The sequence below is a fragment of the Homo sapiens genome, chromosome X (genome assembly GCF_000001405.40).
Source record: "Homo sapiens chromosome X, GRCh38.p14 Primary Assembly".
NCBI lineage: Eukaryota > Metazoa > Chordata > Mammalia > Primates > Hominidae > Homo > Homo sapiens.
This window is the reverse complement of record NC_000023.11, coordinates 135432445-135456645: the sequence shown is the minus strand read 5'-3', so window position 1 is coordinate 135456645 and position 24201 is coordinate 135432445. Positions and strand designations below refer to the sequence as shown.

Genomic DNA, 24201 nt, shown 5'->3' with positions numbered 1-24201 from the left:
TTAGGGTAGAGAAACTGCTGTGTGCCCTTTATAATTGAGGAGCTGCTACCAGGCACCCCAGGATAAGAATTTTCCTCATTTTGAGAGTTGTCCCTCCAGGTCCTTAGAGGTGACCCCTACTAGAAGCATTGGAATTATTATGCAAATGAGAACCTTACCGACAGGTCATGAGCTATTTACATTCCCTAAGGTGGAAGAAACAATCAGTCCTTGTCTAGCTCTTAGAACTTTCCAAATTTGGGTTGTATCAGTGGAGTTGTCAGAATTCTGAAACAATGCCCAAGATTCCCGCCCCTGCTCCTGGTATACATACCTTGCATAATGTCCTCCTTTTGAGTGTGGACAGAAACCTGTGAATGTATGAGATGTCACTCAGTGATTAGGTCACTAATCAGTTGGCTTTGAGTTAATCAAAAGGAGATTAACCTAGGTGGGCTTGACCTAACCAGAATAGTCTTTAAAAGAAGATGAAGCTCAGAGAGACTTGTTCCTGATGACCTAGAAGAAAGAACTCTAATCTGGGACTTCCAGCCTCCAAAGCTGTGAGAAATGACTGTTTGTTGTTTAAACCTCTCAGTCTATGGTAATTTGTTATAGCAGCCTCAGCTGACTAAGACAATAAGGAAGTAAGTAATGGATTTACATGCAGGAACATGAGAAAGGGGCCCTGTTGTGGGCACCAGGGATAAACCTGGGGCTTTGTCCTAGAAACAAAGCATGATCCCGACCTCTGGAACTAGAAGAGGATCTGCCACAGGGTGCAATCAACAAGAATAGGGCAGAAATCCATGAAGTGAAAGCCAGGCAACTTGGCTATTAGCCTTGGCTCTCCCACTCAAAAGTTGTATGGCTTTATGCACGACATTATGGGTCTTACTTAGTTCACTTGTAAAATAAAGAAATTCACTTATGTCAGTGGGTTTCAGCCTCTGCAGCCCCAACCTACTACAGGGCCATGCCTCTCAAACTTTAATATATACGTGAATCACTGGGAGATCTTGCCAAAATCCAGGTCCTGCTTCAGCAGGTCTGCAGTGGGGCCCTCAGAGACTGCATTTCTCACATGCTTCTAGATGACTATGTTCTGCTTGTCTCTGGACAACACTTTTAGTAGCAGGCAAGCATAGAGGACCACAGAAGTGTCTCAGTTGCCTATCTGCTGGTGGGGATGGAAGATTAGAAGTCATCACCCCCTCCCCAGTTTTAGTAGGAGTAGCTTGCCTTTGATTTGTTTTACATTTTAGGGCTTCACCTAAGATTTTATTTGAAAAATAAAAAGAGCTTAAAAGCAATGGATTATAGCCCTTTCTCAGGGAGTGGGGTTAATATTTTAAATTTTATTATGGAAAATTTCAAATATATACCAAATTCAAAAGTATAACAAATTCCCATATAGGCACTACCCAACTTCAATAAGTACATGTACATTTCCCTTTATATCTACCTGATAAGAACTTAAATGACAAAAAGAGAAGCAAACAGATTATCTTTGGGCTGGGATTCAAAATTCTTCCCACTACAAAGAATGCCTGGCTCTGGAGCCTCACTGGCAGGGCTGAACTTCCAAGTGGGGAATAAATGGGCCCGGTTTGGGGAGTTATCAGGAAGCAGGGACAGGAAACAGCACAAAGCATTCCAAGGCCTTCTCTCTGGCGGGGGAAAAGGCAAAGTCACAGGAAGGAATGGAGCGGGGGCAGGAATGTGGCCAAGCTCTTCTCCTTAAGTTTTCCTCCTGGAGGAACTTGTGAGGAGACACAGCAGCAAGATGCTTGCTTCAGTGGCTGCAGGAAACCAAAGGTACAGGCACACACAGACAGAGCTGGGGACGAGCAGAGGAAGGCTGTGAGCTTCAGAAAGGCTCACTGTTGATTTCAGCTGGAGTACAACCATCAAAGTCAGAGAATGGCTACCTTTTCCAAAACCAGAAACAATGCTGATGGGTAGAATGCCCCCTACTTTCTGTTTTCTTTTTTCTCTTCTTTTTCTTAAGCCTTCTGTGTCTGCTACCCCTTCTCTGCCACTGAGGGCTGGCACGTAACAAATAGATGAACAAGGTGCAGACGAGGCTGGATAAATATCAGTTGTTTTCATGGGCAGGAGCACTCGCAGTGGTGCTTCTGTTTTGCATATGACCACAGCCAATTCCATGTATGCAGCCCTTCCTATGTACCAGACACTTGTACAAGCATGGCTGTACTTGGTCTCCATGGCAGTCTGCAGGATGAATGTCTATTTGATGTCCCCAAGACACAATGTGAACAGCTACAAGTAAAGCTAAAAGCTAATAAAGACAAAAAAGACTAGTACTCGTTTACTAACCACTTCCATGTGTCAAGCACTGCTCTGGGCTGATTAGTGTGACCCCAAAGTCAATGTCCACCTGGAACCTCAGAATATGACCTTACTTGAAAATAGGGTCTTTAAAAATGTAATTAGTTACATTTAAATGAAGTCATACTGGATTAGGGTATGAATCTAATGAGACTGCTGTTCTCCTAAGAACAAAGACACAGAGACACACAGGAGAGAAGGCCATGTGATTATGGAAGCAGCAATTAGAGTGATGCCTATAAGCCAAGGATCACTAAAGACTGCTGGCAGCCACCAGAAGCTGGGAAGAGAGAGTGTGAGTGACCGGCCCAATGTCACCCAGCTCATAACCTGAAGAGCCAGGATTTAAGCCCAGTTGGTTTCTCCCTCCAAAGCCTGCTTGAACCTCAGGGTGCCTAGTTTAAAACATGGGGTTGACTGTCTCTCAGTGTTTACTGGTGTCTGGAGAAGGCCCTTGTAACTTATCTGGGTATCTGGGTCTCCAGTCCTGTTTGCACATCTCTGCTGTAGTGTTTGTAGGAATCAAAAGCACGTAACAACCTCATGGGGGCTTATTTGCTTAAGATCAGGTACCTCTTATAACTTCTGAAAGCCCATTTATCTCATTCTTATGGTTTGTTCAACTACAGAAGGCCAATTTTGTCAAAGCTGTTTGGTGAAATGTTCTTTTTCCCAGCTCATCTGGCTTGCACTAACAAGAATAGCGTCATCTCTTGGTCACTCCCCTGAACTACATCCGAAGGCCCTTGGGAGGGTATTGCTAAGGCTTTCAGCAAGAGACACAGCCACCACTGCACCTCAGGCTTTGATAATGGAAAGAGAAGAAAGGCTACGAGGTCATGGGACACAGGAAGGGAGTAAGGGAAGCAGGTGTCAGTGTGAGGCTGCAGAGCCTCAGCTTTAACCATTTTGCTGTGATTCCCAGGATAATATGACCTGACATTTTACTACATTTGACAATGGACCTGCAGTGATTCCCAGGTGGCATGAATGTGGAGAGTTGCTGTTACCTGGAAATGTCATAGAAAGTGAGAAACTAGGAAGTGGAAGAGAAATGAGTCTGCCAGTTTCAAATGTTGACAGGCACTGTGAACGTTGCTTCCCCCTTATGTACTGCTGCGCCCATGGGGCAGAGAGGGAGGCAGGTGCAGAGGGGCACGGTGACATGCCCATGTTCCCAGAGCTGGTGAACCAGGAGCTGAACACCCAAGCCAGCCTTTGAGCTCTTAGGCTGGTCTTTGCCCTCTGCACTCCCATGAGCAAAAGCATATGGAAGAGGGAAGTGGGAAAAGGAGTATGAGAAACACAACAGAGGGTCTGGGGTGAGGCTTTGTATCACATCTGAGCAAAAACTGCTTTAACCGGTGCTCAGATTTGCCATGGTGTTCACATGGAAAGCCCTTTAGAAAAGACATTTCAGGAAAACTGCATTGAGAGCACTTCTAGAGTATAAGTGGAATCACTTTCCAGCCATGATATCTGGTGTGTACATTGGGGTTCTTGCTGCATGTGCCCTGACATTTATTTTTAACGTTCATAATTTGAAAAAAGAAATCTTTGGGTGCCAATCTCTGGGAACTGGGAAGGCCATCTTGTAGCTCCGAGGGTCTGGGTGGTCTGGTTTTGTCTGAGTTAACCTTTGCCCTGGAGGTAATGACAAAACCCATACCCCATACTATTTCTTTGGTAGGGGGAGTTGCAATCCTGTTGGCTGAGCCTGCATGCACACCTTGTCTCCTACTCAGCACTCACCTGTTCCTGTAAGCTCCTCCTCTAACTGCCCACAGGGAATCTGTGCCTGGGGCCCACTGCAGTGTCAGATGTAAAAAGGGATCAGGGAATAGGCCAGGAGTCCCTTGTCAGGGTGTCCTGGAAGCCTTCCCTGGAGCACAGAGCTCTTCTGAATTTCCGAGTGCTGGAGGTATGTGGCATGAATTGGTGTATGTTTGTGTGGGTAGGGGAAGAAGAAAGATTTGGTTAATGAGAGGACCCCTGATATCTGTAGGAGGGGGTGTTGTGAGTGGAAAAGCAGCTGCAGTTGTTACAGATGGACTCTGGTGGCCAGGGAGAGGGAGTGTGCTGTCATGACAGCCACAGAGGGAACCTGCTGAGAAAGGGCCGGTGGCAGGGCTTGGGTCAATCCAGCCTGGGGGGACCTGGGGGATTGCTCTGCAGAACTGGGAGAGGGCTTGAGGTTCAGCCTGATCTCTAGGTGGCTGAGTGGAACAGATGGCAATAGTGACTGTTGTGTGTGCCACCAGCAGCATCGCAATGGGAGGAAAGCTCATGGGGTACAGCCTGCAGCAAGACTGTCTCCCAGTCTCAGGGCCCAGGGAGCAAACCCTTAGAAGTTCCAGCCTGTTGGTCCCACTAAATCTCTGCGAGTCTGGTCACCCTGCTTGTAAGACTCAATGTCTGCTCTCCATGAGGTCATATTTGGAATGTTGTGGCAAGGGACCAAGCCCCCTTGGCTGCTGTCTAGGGTCCTGTTTGCCCCTCTGATCCTCTTCCTGGGAGGAACTGAGAATGTGAGATGATGTAGGATTTGGTCCAGGGGCAGGCAGTCATGTGTTTGTGGCATCCAATGTACCCACAAGGCCAGGACATCTGTGTCCAAGGAGAAGGCCTCAGGGTCAGAGCCAAGAGCCCAGCCCAAAGGCAATGCAGGTGAGCCTGCTGGGGTGGAAGATGAATGCCCTGATCATTCTCTAAAGCATGAGGCCAGGAAGGAGAATGAAGAAGTCTATGATGTTCTCCACTGGGCAGACAGTTGAGGAATGTAGCTGGATCAGTCCTGGATCACCTGATCATTCACTGGGGATCCCCACTCTCTGAACCACCAGATAGAGAAATAATTGAGGGCTTGGATTGCTTGGGAACTAATAGGATGGGGCTACTTTTGTAAGCTTTTAATACCACAGTGGTGGGGCAAGGGCTGTAGGGGATTGAAAGAAAGGCCAAGAGAGTCTATGGAAGAGGCCAGATATAGTTTGGATGTTTCTCTTCTCCAAATCTCATGTTGAAATGTGATCCCCAATGCTGGATGTGGGACCCGGTGGGAGGTGTTTAGGTCATGGGGGAAGATCCTTCATGAATGGCTTGATGCTGTCCTTGCAGTAGTAAGTGAGTTCCCACTTTATTAGTTCATATGAGAGCTGATTGTTTAAAATAACCTGGCATTTCTATTGCTCCCTCTCCTGCCACGTGACATGCCCGCTCCCCCTTCACCTTCTACCATGAGTAAAAGCTTCCTGAGACCTCACCAGAAGCTGAGCAGATGCTGGTGACATGCTTGTAAAATCTTCAGAATCATGAGCCAAATAAGCCTCTTTTCTTTATAAATTACCCAGCGTCAGGTACTTCATTACAGCAATGCAAAACAGACTAACACAAGGCCCAGTGGTGAAACAATAACACATCAGCAAATATGTTACAGAAAAAAAAGTCCTGACCCAAAGGCAAAACTCACCACCAGGGTAGATTCAGGATAGTTTTTTGATTTTCAAACTAGCTGCATAAAATAGGTGTATCTGGCAGTGGTGCTGACAAAAATCCAGATACAGAGATTGACAGCTGCCCCTGTTGTTCAGCTTAATATCAGATTGAAGACGAGGAATAATTCTCTGCTTCATACATGTCCTATTATTCTCTGTAACAGCAGTATCTTCAAAGGATAGAAACATACTGGAACCTTCTGTTGGGCACTCGAGTTTCAGGGGAGGATGCAGGGTCTCATTGGCTTGGGCAGCTAGGGTCTACAACTCTGGTAACTGCATGGTCCTTGGTGGTTCTAAAGGCTGTTTGGGTTCTCAGTGGAGCTTCGGGTTCAGTGGCAAGAGACTAGGGTAGGCAGTGGCGGGGGCCAGGACTGGTGGTGTACACATGTTCAGCTGCAGGCATATGCATGGCAGCAGGGCCTGACTGCAGGTACTCATGTGGTGGTGGGGGCCGGTGGCTTGCACGTGCACAGGTACAGGAGTTGGGTCTGGCAGCATGCCTGTGCATGGTTGCAGGGACTTGTTGCATGTGTAAGCATGGTAGTGAGGGCAGGCACCAGTTGGTGGGCCCAGGTGCAAGTACACACATAGCTACAGGGCCAGGGCTGTTGGACAGCATGTGTGCAGCTGCAGGCGCCATCTGCAGGCACATGCATGATGGGTGGCCTGTGATGGAGGTTGGGTTGATGTGTGCATGTGCACAGCTGCACATAACCAGAGCTGGCAGCATGCATGTACACTGCTACAGGCGCTAGTTGTGGAAGTGAGCATGGCAGTAAGGGCTGGAGACATGAGTCAGCAGTCAGGGCTGGTTTCTTGTGCATGCATAGCCATGGGGAATGCAAATGGTGGCCAGTACACACACAGTTCCATGGGTCAGCTATAGGCATGTGCAGGACTGTGCAGCCTGGCAACAGGGGTTGGTCAGCTGCAAGGACCACGAGAGCTTTTGGTGTGTACACATGTTGCAGGAATCAGCTGCCGACATAAATGTGATGGTAGGGGCTGGCAACTGGAGTCAGGGCCAGCTGTGCATGAACACATACAGCTAACAGGGTCAGTCAGACACACATGTAGTGGTGGGTTGGGGCCTGTAGCACAGGCCCAGGCTGATTGTGCACACATGCAAGGTGGATGTGTGGGGTCACTGGGCTGGGGTGTCCACAGCAGCAGCCACTGGGGATGTTCCAGGAGAAGGGGTGGAAGAAGGGTGGAGACTCTGGCAGCTGGAGACTGCGAAGGTGAAAAACTTCACAGCCCTCGAGGCACTGGTTGTCCACTGCAGCAGTGCTGAGAGGACATGATTTATTTTCCTCAGCAGTAAAAGGCTTCAAGGGCTGTTAAGGTCTTCAGTAAAGAAGGCTGCTGGAGTCCTGTGCAAAGCAGGCTACTGGGGACCACAGTGGCTTCTCCTACATGGCAGACACTGATATCCCCTACCCATTTCCTTTGTTCTTAACCATCTCCAAGCATTCAGCTGGCAGTTTTCTCAACATTCTGAGTGAGTGAAACTGGAGCAGATCAGTCCCAGGCAGTGTCCTGAAGACTGAGAGAGCCAGTTGTTCATCCTGCCCTGCAAGAGGAACTCACGAGCTAGGGAATGTTCTCTCCATGCTGAGCAGTGTCAACTGGGGGATGGGATGATGCAGGTAAAATGAAACTGTCCTTCCTACCTTTTTTGTGCAAGTATTCTCAGTTTTTTTCTTCAACTGTGTTGCTATAGCTTCTTAAGTGGACTCTTGTGCTCTTTTGGAGCTGTTTTTATTCATGAATGACCGTCAAGTTGTTGTTGTTGTCGTTGTTGTTGTTGTTGTTGTTTTGGAGGAAAAAAGGCTGGAACTCCTACTCCGCTATCTTGCTGATGTCACTTATTCCTGCCAGTAACTGCAAAGTTTTTTGTTTGAGAAGTGGTAAGGATGGAATTGCCAATTTGAGACGTGGAGAACTGAGAGGAGCCAAATTGGGTGCATAAGAAGAATAGCAAGAACTCAGCTTTAGACATATTAAACTTGCGTAGACATGTGGATAATTGAATCTGAGATTGGTTAATGCTGGAGGTGTACATATTTTGAAGTTATCATCCCCCAGATATTATATAAAGTCACACCAAAGAAAGGTATGTATATTAAAAGAGAAATGGTCCCAGACGTGTGTCTTGTGTCATTTATAATGTTGGATAGTAAGTTAAGGAAATGTTTAACATTGCGGATGTTGCCAGTTTTCCAACATGGTGTGACCATTTCCACTCCCACCTGCAGTGTTTGAAATTTCTAGTTCCTCCAGATCCTTGACATTTATATCCTGCAACTCACTTTTAACTTATTGTAAAATTCTATTTGAAACTACTTGTTTATAACTGTAACACGTAATATACCTATCCAAGAGTTCAAGCTAGGCGCAGTGGCTTACCCCTGTAATCCCAGCACTTTGGGAGGTCGAGGCAGGTGGATCTTCTTGGGTCAGGAGTTTGAGACCAGCCTGGCCAACATGGTGAAACCCCGTCTCTACTAAAAAAAAAAAAAAAAACAAAAAAAACAAAAAATTAACCGGGCGTGATGATGGCGGGCGCCTGTAATCCCAGCTACTTGGGAGGCTGAGGCAGGAGAATCATTTGAACCCAGGAGGTGGAGGTTGCCATGAGCTGAGATTGCACCATTGCACTCCAGCCTGGGCAACAGGAGTGAAACTCTATCTCAATAAATAAATAAATAAATAAATAAATAAATAAATAAATAAATAAGAGTTTATCAACTGAACAAAACACCTAGGGAATTGATTCATTCTTACAGTAGCAATATTTCCTAGTATCAGGTTAGAGCCAGAGTAAGGAGGTGCAGAGCCAGTTACAGTGTACTATGCTTTTACATAGTTATTTCTACCACTAATACCAATCAACATTTATTTGGTGGTTACTAGTGCCAGGCATTATTCTCTGAGCTCTAAATATACCAATTAATTATCACAACACTTTTATGTCGTGAGGACTATTATTGTGCTTCTCATTTTATAGATGAAGAAACCGAGGAACAGAGAGATTAAGCGCTTTGACTAAGGTTGCAAATTGAGTAAGTGACACTGTCAAGATTTTAACGCAGGTAGCCAGGTTCCAACTTTTGCTCTTACCTGTGTACTTGACTGCCTCTCACTAAGGAGTTGTGAACATGACCAATTGTTTAATAAATCCTGTGCTTCTCCCTTAGATTGGCTGTGATGAAAAGTTCACACTTTCTCCATTTAACTTTGTTAAATCAGTAAAGGAGAATCAATGCCTAAAGGATTATAAACTTCCTTTCTGACAGATTTACAAGGTGTCTGTTTAAACATGTGCGAAATGTACCTTGGATCTACTAAAAGCTATTTTAGGGTATTACAATGTCAAAGTAACGTGAAATTTAACATAACCTCAATTAATAGATAATGACACTCAAATTTCTCCATGGTTGTTTTAGGTCTCTTGCCTTATAACGGTGACTGGTTAGAAGTTGAGTATTACATGCAGCCAGGCACCTTAAACATCAAGCCATGCTCAGTGAAGCCCATGAGCTGTAAATATGTGGACGAGGTAATTTGTTTCCATGTTGCACTTGTCATTAGTTTCTTCGAAACCTTCCTTTAGTGATAATTTTTATGCCCAGAAGTCTATTGGGTGTGCTAGGAAATCTAGAAAATATGAGAAAACATATTTGTTTTTTATCAAAAGTAGCCTGTTTTCTTACTGAAATGGCAGGACTCCCAAAAGAAAATGATTAGAAAATCATGTAGAACATGTACATAAGTAAGTTCTAAGTTGTATAGTATATTTGGTATTTTAATGTTATTAGGATGTTCTGAGAACAACAGGAAGAAAAACTGTGTGACAGAAAATGCTGTATGCCAGAAAATTGTTGGGAGAGAATGAATGGAGTGGGTTGTGGGATTTGAGTTTTCCAGTAAATGCTGGGTATCATTTGGATAGTAGAGCCTGAAAATGAGAAAGAAATTCATTTTTAACAAAGGTACAGATGAAATAGTGAGCTTGGAAAGTGACAGAGGAAGCAGGGAAAAAATGATAGTCTACTTACTGCCACATTCCTTTCTCATTCAACCCCTTTCACTCTCTCAACCTTTACTACAGAGGTTTATGGATATTCTATGTAGTATTCAGCACAGAGCTTCTCAGCAGAGACCTAGGCCCCATCCCCAGAGACTCTGATTTAGTTGGCTTAAAATGCAATCTGGGCATAATTATTTTTACAAAGTACCCCTGGTGTTGCCCGTGTGCCAACCATGTTGGGAATCACTGAAGAAGATGGAGTGACTTGAAGATTAGAGCCAGAGTGAGGAGGTGCAGAGCCCATTAAAGTGTACTATGCTTTTACATAGTCATTTCCACCATTTATAATTACAGGCCTGCATTACTAGTCTACATGGAAGACATGGGGTGATAGATGATAGTATCTTTTTCACCTTGGATTCTCTGAAACTTCCTGATGGATACATACCTCAAAGATATGATATCGTCAATATGGCCATGGTTGAGAGGATTCAATCCTGTTATATTTGGAGGGCAGTTTCTATCACACCGGTGCAAAGGTTGTAATAATAAAACACTTATTCTCTGTTCATCTTCTCCTCTTTGGGCAGTAAAGAGTCTAGTTTAATTGAAAAGCTTAGCTTAGTAAACCTAAACTTTTTTTACATATGACTTTTCTAGTAAATTCAATTAAGATACTGGCTGGTTCACTTGGACCATGAGCCCACTTTAGTGAAGTGCCTTATCAATTAAAAAGCATGCTAAACCTGGCAAGTTACTGTAGGTAGGGTGTTCCTGGAGACACAACAATTCACCTTAAATTCCTTGTTTTCTATTACCAAGAGTGAATTATAAGATGGCAGAGGCCTGGGGCAGCCCTGAAGGCACCATCAGAGGAAAAGAATTTAACTGAAGAAGCAGCAGAGTCAGCATGTTAAAAGCATGATTTAAAGTTACAATCTGACTTCAATTTTGAGTCCCCCTTATGCTGTTTTTATTTTTCCATAGCCTTTTTCATCTTATATTTACCTACCTAATTTGTTATGCCAGAACGTATTTTGGTCTGCTTTTCTCCTTAATGCATCACAAAGCACTTAGAAGAGTGCCTGGCATATATTAAAGGCAGATTAAATGTTGTTAAATTCAATGAATGGGTGATCTGGCCAACGATAATGCTTAGGTGTGGGTAATTAATGACTTGTTTTCTAGGAATAAAATTGTTGAGCAATCCATTAAGACTTCACTTGATATTTTACTAAAAACGTCTCCAGATCTGGTGCACATAAGCCTCAAAGTGGCTGGAGATCTACTTTTGGGAGAAGTGCGGGCCAACTCCATACATGAATTAGGGGGCAAATCAGAGCCCTTTGAAGGAAGGAGAAGCTACCTACCCATGGGCTATGATGGTACTAAAATCCCACAAATACACCTGATGAAAAGTTTTCCTTTCTTCCTCAAATAGAGCCTTAACCAGATAACTGTGGCCTAGGGGAAGGGACATATTCAGATCTTTGGGCGTCACTGGAAAGTGGCTGTGAGCTCCCTTTCAGTCCTGGGATTCAGAATTACCCCATAATCTCCTGCTCAGTGGATAAAGAAAGTTTGGTTCTGAAATTGCTTTACAGGTGTACTGAGACCTTTCAAGCATCCAGTGGTTAGTTTCCCATTTTACAGGAACATAGTAGGCATGAATATCCTGTAGATTTTAGGCTTTTACTGTGACAGCTCCAGGTCCCTGTGAAAGTCGTCATTCAAAAGCAGCCCCATAAGCTGTGGGAATTACAGAGAAGGCCACCATTGGACTTGAGAGATACATGGGTCATGGATGCTACCATCTCCCCAATTAATTTTTGGCGTTAGTTGCTGTAGAAGAATGCTCTTTGAGAGTAACAGTGGATTAAGGTAAGCCTAGTCAGGTGGTGATTCAATTATAGCCAGTGTTACACAGACATCATGACTGAAATGAGTGAATTACTTCGGTACCTGGGGTGCAGTGGTTGCATGAATAATTTTCCTTCATCCTTTTAAATAGCAAAGTCCAGAATCCATTTGCTTTTCTAGGGCTGGTCCAGCAGTAGTATACTTTGAACATTTGCTTCATGGATATGTCAACTTTGAGGCTTGTTGCCATAATTTCAAATGCAGGGTTCTTGATAACCTCACCCTCAGTGAAGCAACATACTGGTCTTCCTAAATGGTGCAAGAACCCCGGGAGCAGGAAAGTAGCAGGATGGGTTAAAAGCATATTTTCTACTGGTGAAAAAGAAATGCCATGAAAATACAGAAACCGGCCTGGAGCAGTGGCTCACGCCTGTAATCCCAGCACTTTGGGAGGCCAAGGCAGGTGGATCACCTGAAGTTGGGAATTCAAGATCAGCCTGACCAACATGGAGAAACCCCGTCTCTACTAAAAATACAAAATTAGCCGGGCATGGTGGCACATGCCTGCAATCCCAGCTACTCGGGAGGCTGAGGCAAGAGAATCACTTGAACCCAGGAGGCGGAGGTTGCAGTGAGCCGTGATCGCACCACTGTACTCCAGCCTGGGCAACAAGAGCGAAAATCCATCTCAAAAAGTAAATAAAGAAAGAAAGAAAAGAAAAGAAAATACAGGAACCTGTCACCACAAGTTTCTGGGGCTCCAGTGTTCTATGGTAGAACTTCCAACTGGTATGCTGTGAATGGGTTGCAGATGTGCTGATGTTAGATGTCCTTCAGCTCATTTAGGGATTGATATGATTTGGATATTTGTCCCCTCCAAATCTCATGTTGAAATATGATTCCCAATTTGGAGGTGGGGCCTGGTGGGAGGTGTTGGGTCTTGAGGGCGGATCCCTCATGAATGGCTTGGTGCTGCCCTCGCGATAATGAGTGAGTTCTCACTTGGAGTTTACCTGAGATTTGGTTCGTTAAAAACAGCATGGCACCTCCTCACTCTTTCTTTCTCTCCCTCACCATGTGACACGCTGGCTGCCCTTCACCTTCTGCCATGATTGTAAGCTTTCTGAGGCCTTCACCAAAAGCAGATGTCAGCACCATGCTTCCTGTACAGCTGCAGAACTATGAGCCAAATAAAACCTCTTTTCTTTATAAATTACCCAGCTTCAATTATTTCTTCATAAATATTATTAAATTATAAATTATTACTTTATTATTCATAAATTATTTATTTACTCAGCTTCAATTATTTCTTTATAAATTACCCAGCTTCAATTATTTCTTTATAAATTACCCAGCTTCAATTATTTCTTTATAACAATGTGAGAATGGGCTGACACAGGATTACATGCAATGAAGAAAAGGAAATAAGACAATGATCTTGAGCAGGGGTTGGAAAGCTAAGGCTGTTGTGTCAAATCTGTCTTGATGCCTGAAATGATTCTTAAAAATTGAAGTTCTATTAAAGTACCTGGAATTTAATTAGGACCTAGTATACTGTACTTACTATTGTCATCATGATTATGGATGTTATTAATTGACATGCTTTGAAGTCTTCATCATAATTGTGGTTTCATCCATTACTACTTATATAGTAGTAATATACTACTTGGTCTGTTATTTCACTGCTGTTATAAGATGCATAAAAGTTTGACTATATATCTGCCTTATGGATATGTTTTGTGAGTATAAACAACCCCTCTCTCATGTTTAATGGGTGGTTTTAAAAATTTATTTTGTCAGAATTTAAAAATGCCACTTTATCAGTGATTTCTCCAAGAATCCCTGGTCCTTTTTTTTTTCAGTTGTTTTTACTGTGGTAAAACACACATAACATAAAATTTATCACCTTAACCATTTTAAGTGTATAGTTCATTGGAATTGAATACAGTCATAAATACATTCATCAATGGAGACTTGAATTGCTTCCACTGTTTAGATTTTGTGAATAAAGCTATGACATAGGTGTACAAATATCTCTTTGAGACCGTGTTTTTAATTCTTTTGGGTGCATATACTGGAAATGGAAATGCTGGATCATATGGTCATTTTGCTTTTAATTTTTTGATGAACTGCTACACTGTTTTCCACAGTAGCTATACCACTTTACATTCCCACCAACAGTGCACAAAAGTTTTAACTTCTCTACATCCTTGTCAACATTTGTGGTTTTCTGTTTGTTTGATAGTAGCCATCTTATTGGGTCTCATTGTAGTTTTAATTTGCATTTTCCTAACGATTTTGGGCATCGTTTCATGTGCTTATTGGCCATTTGTATATCTTCTTTGGAGAGTTGTCTATTTTAGTCCTTCATCCATTTTGGAATCAGGTTTTTGTTGTTGTTGAGTTGTATGTATTCTCTATATAGTCTTCATATTACTCTCTTATCAGATATGTGATTTGCAAATATTTTCTCCCATTCTGTAGGTTGCATTTTTACTCTGCTCATAGTGTATTTTGATGCACACATTTTTAAATTTTTATGGGTACCTAGTAGGTGTATATATTTATGGAGTATATGAGATATTTTGATAGAGGTATACAATGTGTAATAATCATGCGAGGATAAATGGGGTATCCATCACCTCAAGCATTTGTTATTTATTAGTGTTATAAACATTCCAAGTGTACTATTTTAGTTATTTTAAAATGTACAATAAATTATTGTTGACTGTAGTCGCCCTGTTGTGGTACCAAATACTAGAACTTATGCATTCTATCTAAGTATATTTTTGTACCCATTAATCATCCCCACTTTTCCTCCCTGCTCCCCATTACCCTTCCCAGCCTCTGGTAACCACCCTTCTATACTTGATCTTCGTGAGTTCAGTTGTTTTCGTTTTTAGCTCCCACAAATGAGTGAGAACACATGAAGTTTGTCCTTCTGTGCTTGGCTTATTTCACTTAACATAATTTCCTCCAGTTCCATCCATGTTGTTGCAAATGACAGGATCTCTGAAGTCCAATTTGTCTATTTTTTCTTTTGTTGTCTGTGCCTTTGGTTTCATGTCCATCAAATAATTGGCAAATCCAATATTGTGATGTTTTACCCTGTTTTCTTCTAAATGTCTTATGGTTTTAGGTCTTACATTTAAGTTTTTGATCCACTTTGAATTAATTTGTGTGTACGATGTTAGGTAAGGTTCCATCTTCATTCTTTCACATAAGACATCCAGTTTTCCCAGCACCATTTGTTGAAAAGAATGTCTTTTCCCCAAAGCATAGTCTTTTCTTTCACCTCTGAGTATTTTTAAATTTTCCTTGTGATTTCTTCTTTGATCCATCGATTGTTTAAGAATGTCTCAATTTTCACAAATTTGTCAATTTTCCAGTTTTACTACTGTTATTAATTTCTAACTTCATCATGTTGTAATTGGAGAATACTTTGAATTATATCTATCCTTTAAAATCTATTAGGACTAAGTTTGTGGCTTAACATGTAATCTATCCTGGAATATGTCCTATGTGCACTTTAGCAGAATGTGTGTGTTGTTGTTATGTAGAGTGGCCTGTGTATGTCTGTTAGAATTAGTTGGTTTATTGTGTTAATAATAAACTACAACTAATTGTCTATTTCTTTATTTCTCTTCTGTCTGGTTCTTCTATCCATTATTGAGTGTGGGATATTGAAGTCTCCAACTATTATTGCAGAACTGTCTAGTTCTCCCTTCAATTCTGTCAATATCTGCTTCATATATTTTGATGGTCTGTTATTATAATTGTGTATATAATTGTTATATCTTCTTGCTGTATTGAACCATTTATTTATTATAATGGCTTTGTCTCTTGAATCTTTTTTTGATTTAAAGTCTATTTTGTATGATATTAGTATAATCACTCCTGCTCTCTTTTGTTTACTATTTGCATACCATATAGTTTTCCATCCTTTCACTTTCAATCCATTTGCGTCTTTGGATCTAAAATGAGTCTCCTTTAGAAAGTAGACATGTATACACACACACACACACATATATATACATACACACATATTTTATGCATACATATATATATAAATACATATAGTTTTCAACTTTTATTTTAGGTTCAAGGGGTACGTGTTCAGGTATTTTGCATGGGTAAATTGTGTGTCACAGGGGTTTGGTGCACATATAGTTTTGTCACCGAGGTAATCAGCATAACTCGTGATAGGTAGATTTTTGATCATCACCCTGCTCCCACTACCTATCCTCAAATAAGCCCCAGTGTCTATTGTTCCCTTCTTTGTGTCCATGTGTACTCAGTGTTTAGCACCCATTTATAAATGACAACATGCAGTATTTGGTTTTCTGTTCCTGTGTTAATTCACTTAGGATAATGGCCTCCAGATCCATCCACATTGCTGCAAAGGCCATGATCTCATTCTTTTTATAGCTGTGTAGTATTCCATGGTGTAAATGTACCACATTTTCTTTATCCGGTCTACCATTGATGGGCATTTAGGCACTATGGTGGATAGTGCTGGAATGAACATACCCATACATGTGTCTTTATGGCAGAATGATTTATATTCCTTTGGGTACATACCTAGTAATGGGATTGCTGGATCAAATGGCAGTTCTATTTTAAGTTCTTTGAGAAATCTTCAGACTGCTTTCCACAGTGGCTGAACTAATTTACATTCCCACCAGCAGTATATAAACGTTCCCTTTACTCTGCATCCTCACCAGCATTTGTTATTTTTTGACTTTTTGGTAATAGTCATTCTGACTGGTGCGAGATGGTATCTCATTATGGTTTTAATTTGCATTTCCCTAATGATTAGTAATATTGAACATTTTTTCGTATGCTTGTTGGATGCTCGTATGTCTTATTTTGAGAAATGTGTTTGTGTCCTTTGCCCATTTTTAACAAGGTTGTTTAGTTTTTGCTTGTTGATTTGTTTAGGTTCCTTATAGATTCTGGATATTGGATCTTTGTCAGATACATAGTTTGCAAATATTTTCTCCCATTATGTACGTTGTCTGTTTACTCTGTTGATAGTAGAAAGAATATATTTGGATCATGTGTTTTTATCCATTCTGCTAATTTCTGCCTTTTGATTGGAGAGTATAATCAATTTACATTTCAAGTAATTAAGGATAAGGAAGGACTTCTGATATTTTGGCACTCATTTTTAATATTCTTTATAGTTTTGGGGGACCTCATTGCTTGCATTACTGTCTTCTTTTGTGTTGACTCTTTTGCAGTGAGCAGTTTATTCTTTTCTCATTTCCTTTTGTACATATTGTAGTTATTTTCTTCGTGCTTACCATGGGGATTACATTTAACATCCTAAAGTTATAACACTCTAGTTTGAATTTATACTAGTTTAACCTCAATAACATATAAAAACTCTGTTTATTTACAACTTGGTTTTCACTCCTTTCAGTTGTTGACATCACAGGCTTACATCCTTACACACTGTATTCCCAAGAACATAAACTACTAATTCTTTTAAATTCATTCATCTCTTAAAGTTATGTGGGAAACAAAGTGTGGAGTTACAAACCAAAGTTATAATAATACAAGCTTTTAGACTAATAATTTTAAAAATGTGTTAGTCTCTTAAGTCATGCACAAGTCAAAAAGTAGAGTTACAAATGGTTGTTACAATAATGCTGTCTTTTATAATTGCCCATATATTTATTGAGACTTTTTTTTTTTTTTAGAAAAGGAGGTCTTCTTGTCACAGAAAACAGTTTTGAACTGTTAACATTGTAAAAAGGTATAAAAATACAGGGTAGGGGCTCTGAGCTCTCTGAGGAATTTCCTGACACACACTCTGAACTAAGGCGGAGAGATCTCTGGAAGCCTGGGCCTCTGATCCTTGCCCTGTGCCCCGTCCCCTTCCTCTTTCCCACGAGCCCATGCTCCAAGGCTGACCAGAGACAAGGGCTCTCCCGAACCCTGGCTCAACCTCTCAAGGAAGACCTTCTATGATCTACAATGGCTCATCCTGGAAGAGGGGGCTGGACTGAGGTGGGGTCCGCAGGCGATGCCGGGAAGGCTCTCCAGGCCTGGAGCTGGAGTACCTCTCCTCAGCACTGCCAGTGGGGCTCCTCCTCATTCCACCTCAGCTCGAGGCCCCCAAGGGACCATGCTCTGGGTGGGGTGTCCAAGAGGAGGGCCCTCCCCTGTCCCGGGCACAGGGCCATTCTCCAGATGCCAGCAGGGGCTTATTTCTCTGGGGGGGCCTGAGGGTGGGAGAAGGGTGCTGAGCTCCTTGAAGCTCCTGCTGCAACTTTGGTCCCTTCAGTGTGGACACCTGCTCCTCCAGCTAGTGCACCCTCTGGCGGTGGGCCCGCTCCCATGCCTCCAGGGTACGTTCAGCCTGTGCCTGGGCACTGCACAGGCGCTCCACCTTCTACTGCAGCTCCAGCTGCTGCTGCTGCTGTGCGTCCACCTCCAGCTGGGCTGGGCTGTGGCTCTGCTCCAGCGCCACCACCTGCGCCTCTAGCTGCTAGATCTGCCTCTGGGCCTCGGCCAGCTCCAGCTCAGCCCCCATGAGGGTCCAGGTCAGGCGGCCCTTCTCTGGGCTCAGCGGCACTGTGTCCTTATGACTGCGAAGCTTCTCTCGCTCCACCTTGTCCAGTGCCCTCCTGAGGGCCCCAGGGTCCTTCTCCAGCTGCAGGGCTGAGCGCTCCACCTCCCGCCTCTCGGCTTCCAGCTGAGCCAGGGTGCGCTGCAGGCTGCCCAGGCTTTCCTGCAGCATCCTCTGCTCGTCCTGCAGCTTCAGGACCGTGTGCAGGACTGCAGCCTCGCCCTCCTGCCACTGCTGCAGCACCTCCTGAAGCTGTTGTAGCTGGCCCTCGGCCTCGGCCCACTGCAGCTCCAGGTCAGCCACCTCGCCTGGCAACGTCTGCACCTGCTCGCCAAGGGAGCTGCTCTGCTTCCCTGCCTCAGACAATGTCTGCCTGGCAGCGTCCAGCCGTTCCAGGAGCACTTGGCAGTCATGTTCACAGGCGGTCAGAGCCTTCTGCAGATGCAGGTTCTTGTCCTGGGTGCTGTTGAGGCTGGCGCTGCTCTAGGCCAGGGCCTCTGTCAGGCCCCGCACCTTGACGTGCAGGAGCCCCTCCCTTTCCTCCACCTTGGCCAGGGCCCCATTCAGCCACTCCACTGTCAGCTGCAGGATTCCTGCCTTCACCTCGCTGTCTGCCACCTGTCTCTGCAGGGAGTCCATCCGATTCTGGAGGGCCTGGGCTTGGGCCTCGTGGCCGCTCAGGCCCAGGTGGCTGCGCTACGGCTCCCCCTCAAGCGAGGGCCGCTGCAGTTCCAGCTTGACGGTGAGGCCCTCGGAGGCGTCCAGCATCTCCTTCAGGCACCACTTGTCGCCCTCCAGCTTCCTCTTGTTGGCCTTCATCTTGCTGATCTTCTCCCGACTGGCCCGGAGCTCGCTCTCAGTGGCCTGCAGGCTTCTCTCCAGTGCGGCCACCTAGTCCACTGTGGCCCTGGCGCTCCCGCTCACTGCGCCGCACACTCTCCTCCTGCAGCGCCAGCTCCTCCTGGACCCGGCTCAGCCGTCCATCCACACTGCGCAGGGCTTTCTCACTCTCAGCCACTGTAGCCACTCTGGCCTTCTGCAGCTGCCTGGCCTTCGAGGTTGTGGTGTCCCTCTCAGCCTCCATCTTGGCCAGTTGGCGATTCAGGGCACTCTGGGTCCGAAGTTCGTCCTGTTCTCTCAGGGCGCTCCGCCGCTCCTGCAGAAATTCCCGGAGGGCCCCGCGCACTGCCTCTGGGTCCAGGTCTAGAGGAGCCGGGGAGGTGGTAGGTCCTGGAAATGGTGGCTGGGACCCAGGGCTGCATTCTAAGGTGCTGGGGCGGCCTAGCCTTTCCCCGCTTCCTCCAGCGGGCGCGTCCCGGGCAGGGGAGCCGGGCATTGGTGGCGGGGCTGGACTGGGCTGGGCGCGCGACCCAGGGCGAGGCCCCGGCACAGAACCGAGCGCAGGCCGCCCAGCTGGGCCTCCACCGCGCACCGCTGCACCTCCACGCGGGCCAGCTCGGCCTCCAGGTCTTGTGCCCGGCTCTCGGCCGCGCTCAGCCACAGGCCCAGCTCCGCAGCCTCGGCCCGCGCCGCCTCCAGCTTGTGCTCCAGGCCGCGGGCGTGGTCCAGCTGCTGCTTTTCGGTGCCGCGCACCTCCTCCAGGAAGCCCAGCAGGCCTCGCTCGCGGGTCCGGAACTCGCCTTCTTGTTCCTGCAGCTTCCGCTGGGCTACCTGGAGCTCCTGCCGCGTCGCCTCCAGGCTGTCCTCGCCCTTCAGCAGCCTCTGCCGGAGGCGCAGGATCTCCCGCCGGCTCTCCTTCTCTGCCTGCTAGCCCAGCACCAGGCGGCCCTGCAGCTCCGCCAACTCGCGGCCCACTCTGGTATTCTCACTGTCCAGCATCTTCATCTGACGCCGGAGCTCCTGCAGCTCCCTCCAAGCCTCCAGCCGTGAGCGCTCCACCTCCTGCAGCCCAGTCCAAAGCTCCCCAGCCTCCTTGCCCTCTAGGAGTGCCAGCTTCTGCTCCTTGTCCTCATTGGTAAACTTCAGGCTGATGCGCTCGCTCTCTGCCTTCTTCACGGCGGCCTGCAGTGCCTCACGCTCCTTGGCACCCTCGCCCAGGCTGCGCCACAGCTTGCCCGCCTCCTGGCGCTGCACCTCGAGGCCCTCCTGGCTCTCACGCAGCTTGCGCTGGGCCTCCAGCAGCTCCCGCCGAAGCCGGTCGCGGGCATCCTCCAGCACGTGCAGCTGGGTCCGAAGCTCTTCTGCCTCTCGAAGACAGGAGTCCTGCTGCTTGCCCAGGTCTCGGGCCTGCTCTTGCAGCCTCCTCACTTCCTGGGCGTGGGCCACATCAGCCTCCTCCAGCTGGGCCCATAGGTCCCTCAGCTTGGACATCAGAGCGTTCACGGTGCTCCGGTCCTGCTCCTGCCAGCTCTGGGCATCTAGTTTCTGTGGCTGCATCTCCAGGGAGATGGTGGCCAGGCTGTGCCGCGTACCCATCAACTTCTCTGACAACTTCTCTGACAGAGTCTTTTCAGACCCCTTCAGAGACAAGGCTTGCTGCTTCTTGCTCTCGGCCAGGAGGAGGCCCTCGTCGCGCTCTTGCTGCAAGGCAGCAATCTCCTCGCTCAGCTCTTCCTTCTCGATCTCCAGTCGGGCCAGCAGCTCCTCCTGCTCGCACTGCAGCTGACTCTGCAGCTGGGCCCGCTTGGCTTCCAGCTCCCGCCATGCTGCCTCCTTTTCGCGCTGGACTCACTGCCAGTCCTCCTCATGGGCTGCCCGCTGCTCCCTCAGAGAGGCCTGGGCCTCCTGCTCAGCCTGCACCAGCTTCTGGGCCATCAGCTCCTTGTCTAGGCTGGCTTTCTCCTTTGTAGCTATTATTTGCTGCTGCAGGCCCGCCAGCTCCCCAGTCAGGGTCTCCTTGGCCAACAGCAGGGCCTGCCCATCGGCTTCCAGCTGATCCCAGCGGGCCTCGAGCTGAACCAGGTGCCCTTGCACCTCAAACAGGCTGCCCTCCAGGGCTTCCTTCTCCAAGCGCAGGCATGTGGCCTCCTCTGACAGGGTCCTGCCTTCAGGCTCCGCGGCCGCCAGCTGCATGACCAGGCCAGTGCACCCCTTGGCTAGCGCCTCTGCCTGCCACTGTGCCTCCAGCCGAGCCTGCTCCAGCTCCTGCTCCCGCCCGCTCAGCTGCTGGGAGAGCTGGGCTAGCTGCTCCTGCAGCTGGCTGCGCTCATGGCGCAGCGTGGGGAGCTGCTGCTCCAGCGCCTCCTGGACCTCCTCTGCCACTCGCAGGGAGCCCTCCAGGCCCTGCCGCGCCGCCTCCTGCTCCAACCGCAGCTCCTCCAGCCGCTCCTGCTCTTCCCGCGCCACGGTGGCTTCCTGCTCCGCCTGCCGCAGCCGGCCCTGCAGGGCTGCCTTTTCTTCCTCCAGCTGGGCGACAAGGCGGTTCAGATCCAACTTGTCCTGAGCCAGGCTCTCGTTGACGGCGCTCAGCTTGGACAGGGAGTCCTGCAGGGAGGCCTCCTCTGCCCTCAGCTTGGTCACGGAGAGCTCGAGTTTCACCTGGCCAGCCTCAGCCTTGGTCAGCGCCTCGGCCACCTCGGCCTTCTCGGCCTGCAGCATGTCCCGCTGCAGTGTGGTGCAGCTCAGCGCCTCCCTCACCTCCACCAGCTCCTTGGCCAGGCCTGAGCGCTTCCCTTCCAGCTGCTCTAGCTGTTTATGGCTGCGCTCAAGCTCCTGGCGCACCCGTGTACCATCCTGCACCGCCTCCTCCTGCTCTTCCTCCAATCGGTCCCGCTGGCGCCGCAGCCCCTCCTGGGCAGCCTGCAGCTTCTCACGCTCCTTCAGAAGGTCCTTGGCCTGTTGCTGGGCCACCTGCAGACTGTGGGCCAGTTTGCTCTTCTCCCTGCTCAGGAGCTCATTGGCGTTCCGCAGCCTCTGTACCTCGCGCTGGGCGTCCTCTTGGGCCTGCACGGCGCCATCGGTCTTGTCCCACTGGTGCTGGAGCTGTTCCTCTAGGGCCCGCCGCTCAACCTCACTGTCGCTAAGCTGCTTCCACAGGGTGCCCAGCAGGTCCTGGTTTGCCTCATAGTGCCCACGCATGTCCTGGACCTGCAGCTGTCGCTTGTGCAGGGCAGAGTGAATCAGGGCGAGCCTGGAGGAGTCTGAGCTAGCCAGGGACCGGCTTCGGTGGGGCGAACGGCTGCTGCCCAGTGAGGAGCACTGCGGTGGGTGGGGATGGGATCCGCTGGCCTGAGAGCCCCGCAGGCTGCCTTCGCACGCGTCCGCAGTGTGCTCGGAGCCGCTCAGCTGGACGCCGTCTCAGTGTCCAACAGGACGGCCTGTGCGAGGTCCCTCGGGGTCTGCTGCAGCCCCTCTCCATCCTCTGTCTCCAGGGCCACCTGCTCCTGTAGCCGCAGGGATTCCAGGGCCTCAGGCTTGCCGAGGGGCTTCTTGACCTAATCCTACTACAGATTCTGCTTCTGAAGACGCTCCACTGCCAGGGCCAGCTCTGTCACTCTGGCACTGAGGTCGGCCTTGTCCAGGTCGCTTTGCATCTGCTGCTGGGCCATGTCCTTCTCATGGAGCACCTTGTCCTGCAGCTGCTCCTCCAGTTGGGCCTGCAGCAGGGCCTGCTTCTCCAGGGCCGCTTCGGCCCCGCTCTCTGCCAGCCGCAGGCCCGTGCTCAGTACCAGGCCCGCCTCCTGGACAGCGTATGATGTCCAGGCCAGCTCCCCTCCCAGCTGCAGCAGGTCCCTCTCGGTGGACATCTTCACCTCGCTGACCAGTCACCCGACCCCCACCTGCCTACAGAGGAGTAACAGGCGACTGTGCTCGTTGCTGAAGTAGGCGTTGAAGGACTCCTCCTCGAGCCTCCATGCCGCCTCCCGCTGCTCCAGCTCCTTGCGGCTGAGTGTCCAGTGGCTGGTCACCTTTCATATGTCCTCACTCAGAGTCTGGCTGGCCGATCCTGCGTGGTCCAGCTGCTCTCGGAGCATGGCATTCACCTGGACCAGGCTGGCACTCCTCTGCTGCTCCTCCTCCAGCCGAATGAGGGCGCTCTCCAGGTCTTGGCTGTGCTCTGTGTCCCTCAGCCGCTGCTGCGCAAGCTCTCTGGATCTCTCCAGCAGCTGCTGCTCCAGCTCCCAGCACCTCTTCTTGTACTGGAGAATCTTGGCCTGCAGCTGCTGCACAAGCTGGGCCTGCCACTGTTGGCCCTCCTGGTAGGCTCCTCCTGCAGCTGCCTCCACAACTCCACGCTCTGCTGTACCAGCCCCCGGGCTCCTGCATCTCCAGCTCCTCAGACTCCAGACGCACACCCTGCTCCAGCCCATTGTGCTTAATGGTGAGCTCATCACGCTTGGCGTGGCTCTGGGCCAGTAAGTCCTCCGCGCGCGACAGCTCCTGCTGCAGCAGCTGGTTCTTTTTCTGCAGCGACAGCAGCAGTGCCATCTCTGTGGCCCGCAGAGGGACTGGGCTTTCAGGCCGGGAGAGGTTGCGGGTGACAATCTCCCTGATGCGGGCAGGTAGGATGATGGTCTGAGGGTCCTGGGCCAGGTCCCGCGTGCCCAAGCCCTTCTCATGGCCCAGGACGCTTCTCTCCAGTGTCCGGATAACCGTCTCCAGTGTCAGCTGGCCCTCCTGTGGCCCCTACAGCCCCAAGCTCATGGCGGGGTGGCTGTGGGCATCCCTCCAGCCCCCTTCTGCAGGACCCCAAGACTAGCTCAGTCAGCACGCCCCACAGCCAGGCTGCTGTGCTGAGCACCAGGCAGATTAAGCTTAAATCCCGCGGCGCCCCCATGTGACCACAGCCGTGGGAGGAGCGAGATGGGGGTTGAGAGGGGAGAGGATGGGAAAGGACAGGAGAGGAGGGAAGCAGAGGCAGGGGGGATCCGAGGGAAGAAGAAGGAAGAGGAAGGATGAAGGAGAAGGGAGAGAAAGGGAGGGAAAAAGAGAGAAGAGGGAAT

General features: G+C 48.1%; 1 pseudogene, besides 1 other annotated feature; it reads right to left on the bottom strand.

The window, feature by feature from the left end:
• Window positions 6485-6986: an enhancer, noted in NCBI's record as "H3K4me1 hESC enhancer chrX:134583585-134584086 (GRCh37/hg19 assembly coordinates)". NCBI's record gives its function as "activates a minimal SCP1, AML or CMV promoter by ChIP-STARR-seq in naive H9 embryonic stem cells {active_cell/tissue: H9 hESC(naive)}" and the evidence as "EXISTENCE:reporter gene assay evidence [ECO:0000049][PMID:30033119]".
• On the bottom strand, window positions 17634-23990 carry CROCCP1 (CROCC pseudogene 1; annotated as a pseudogene).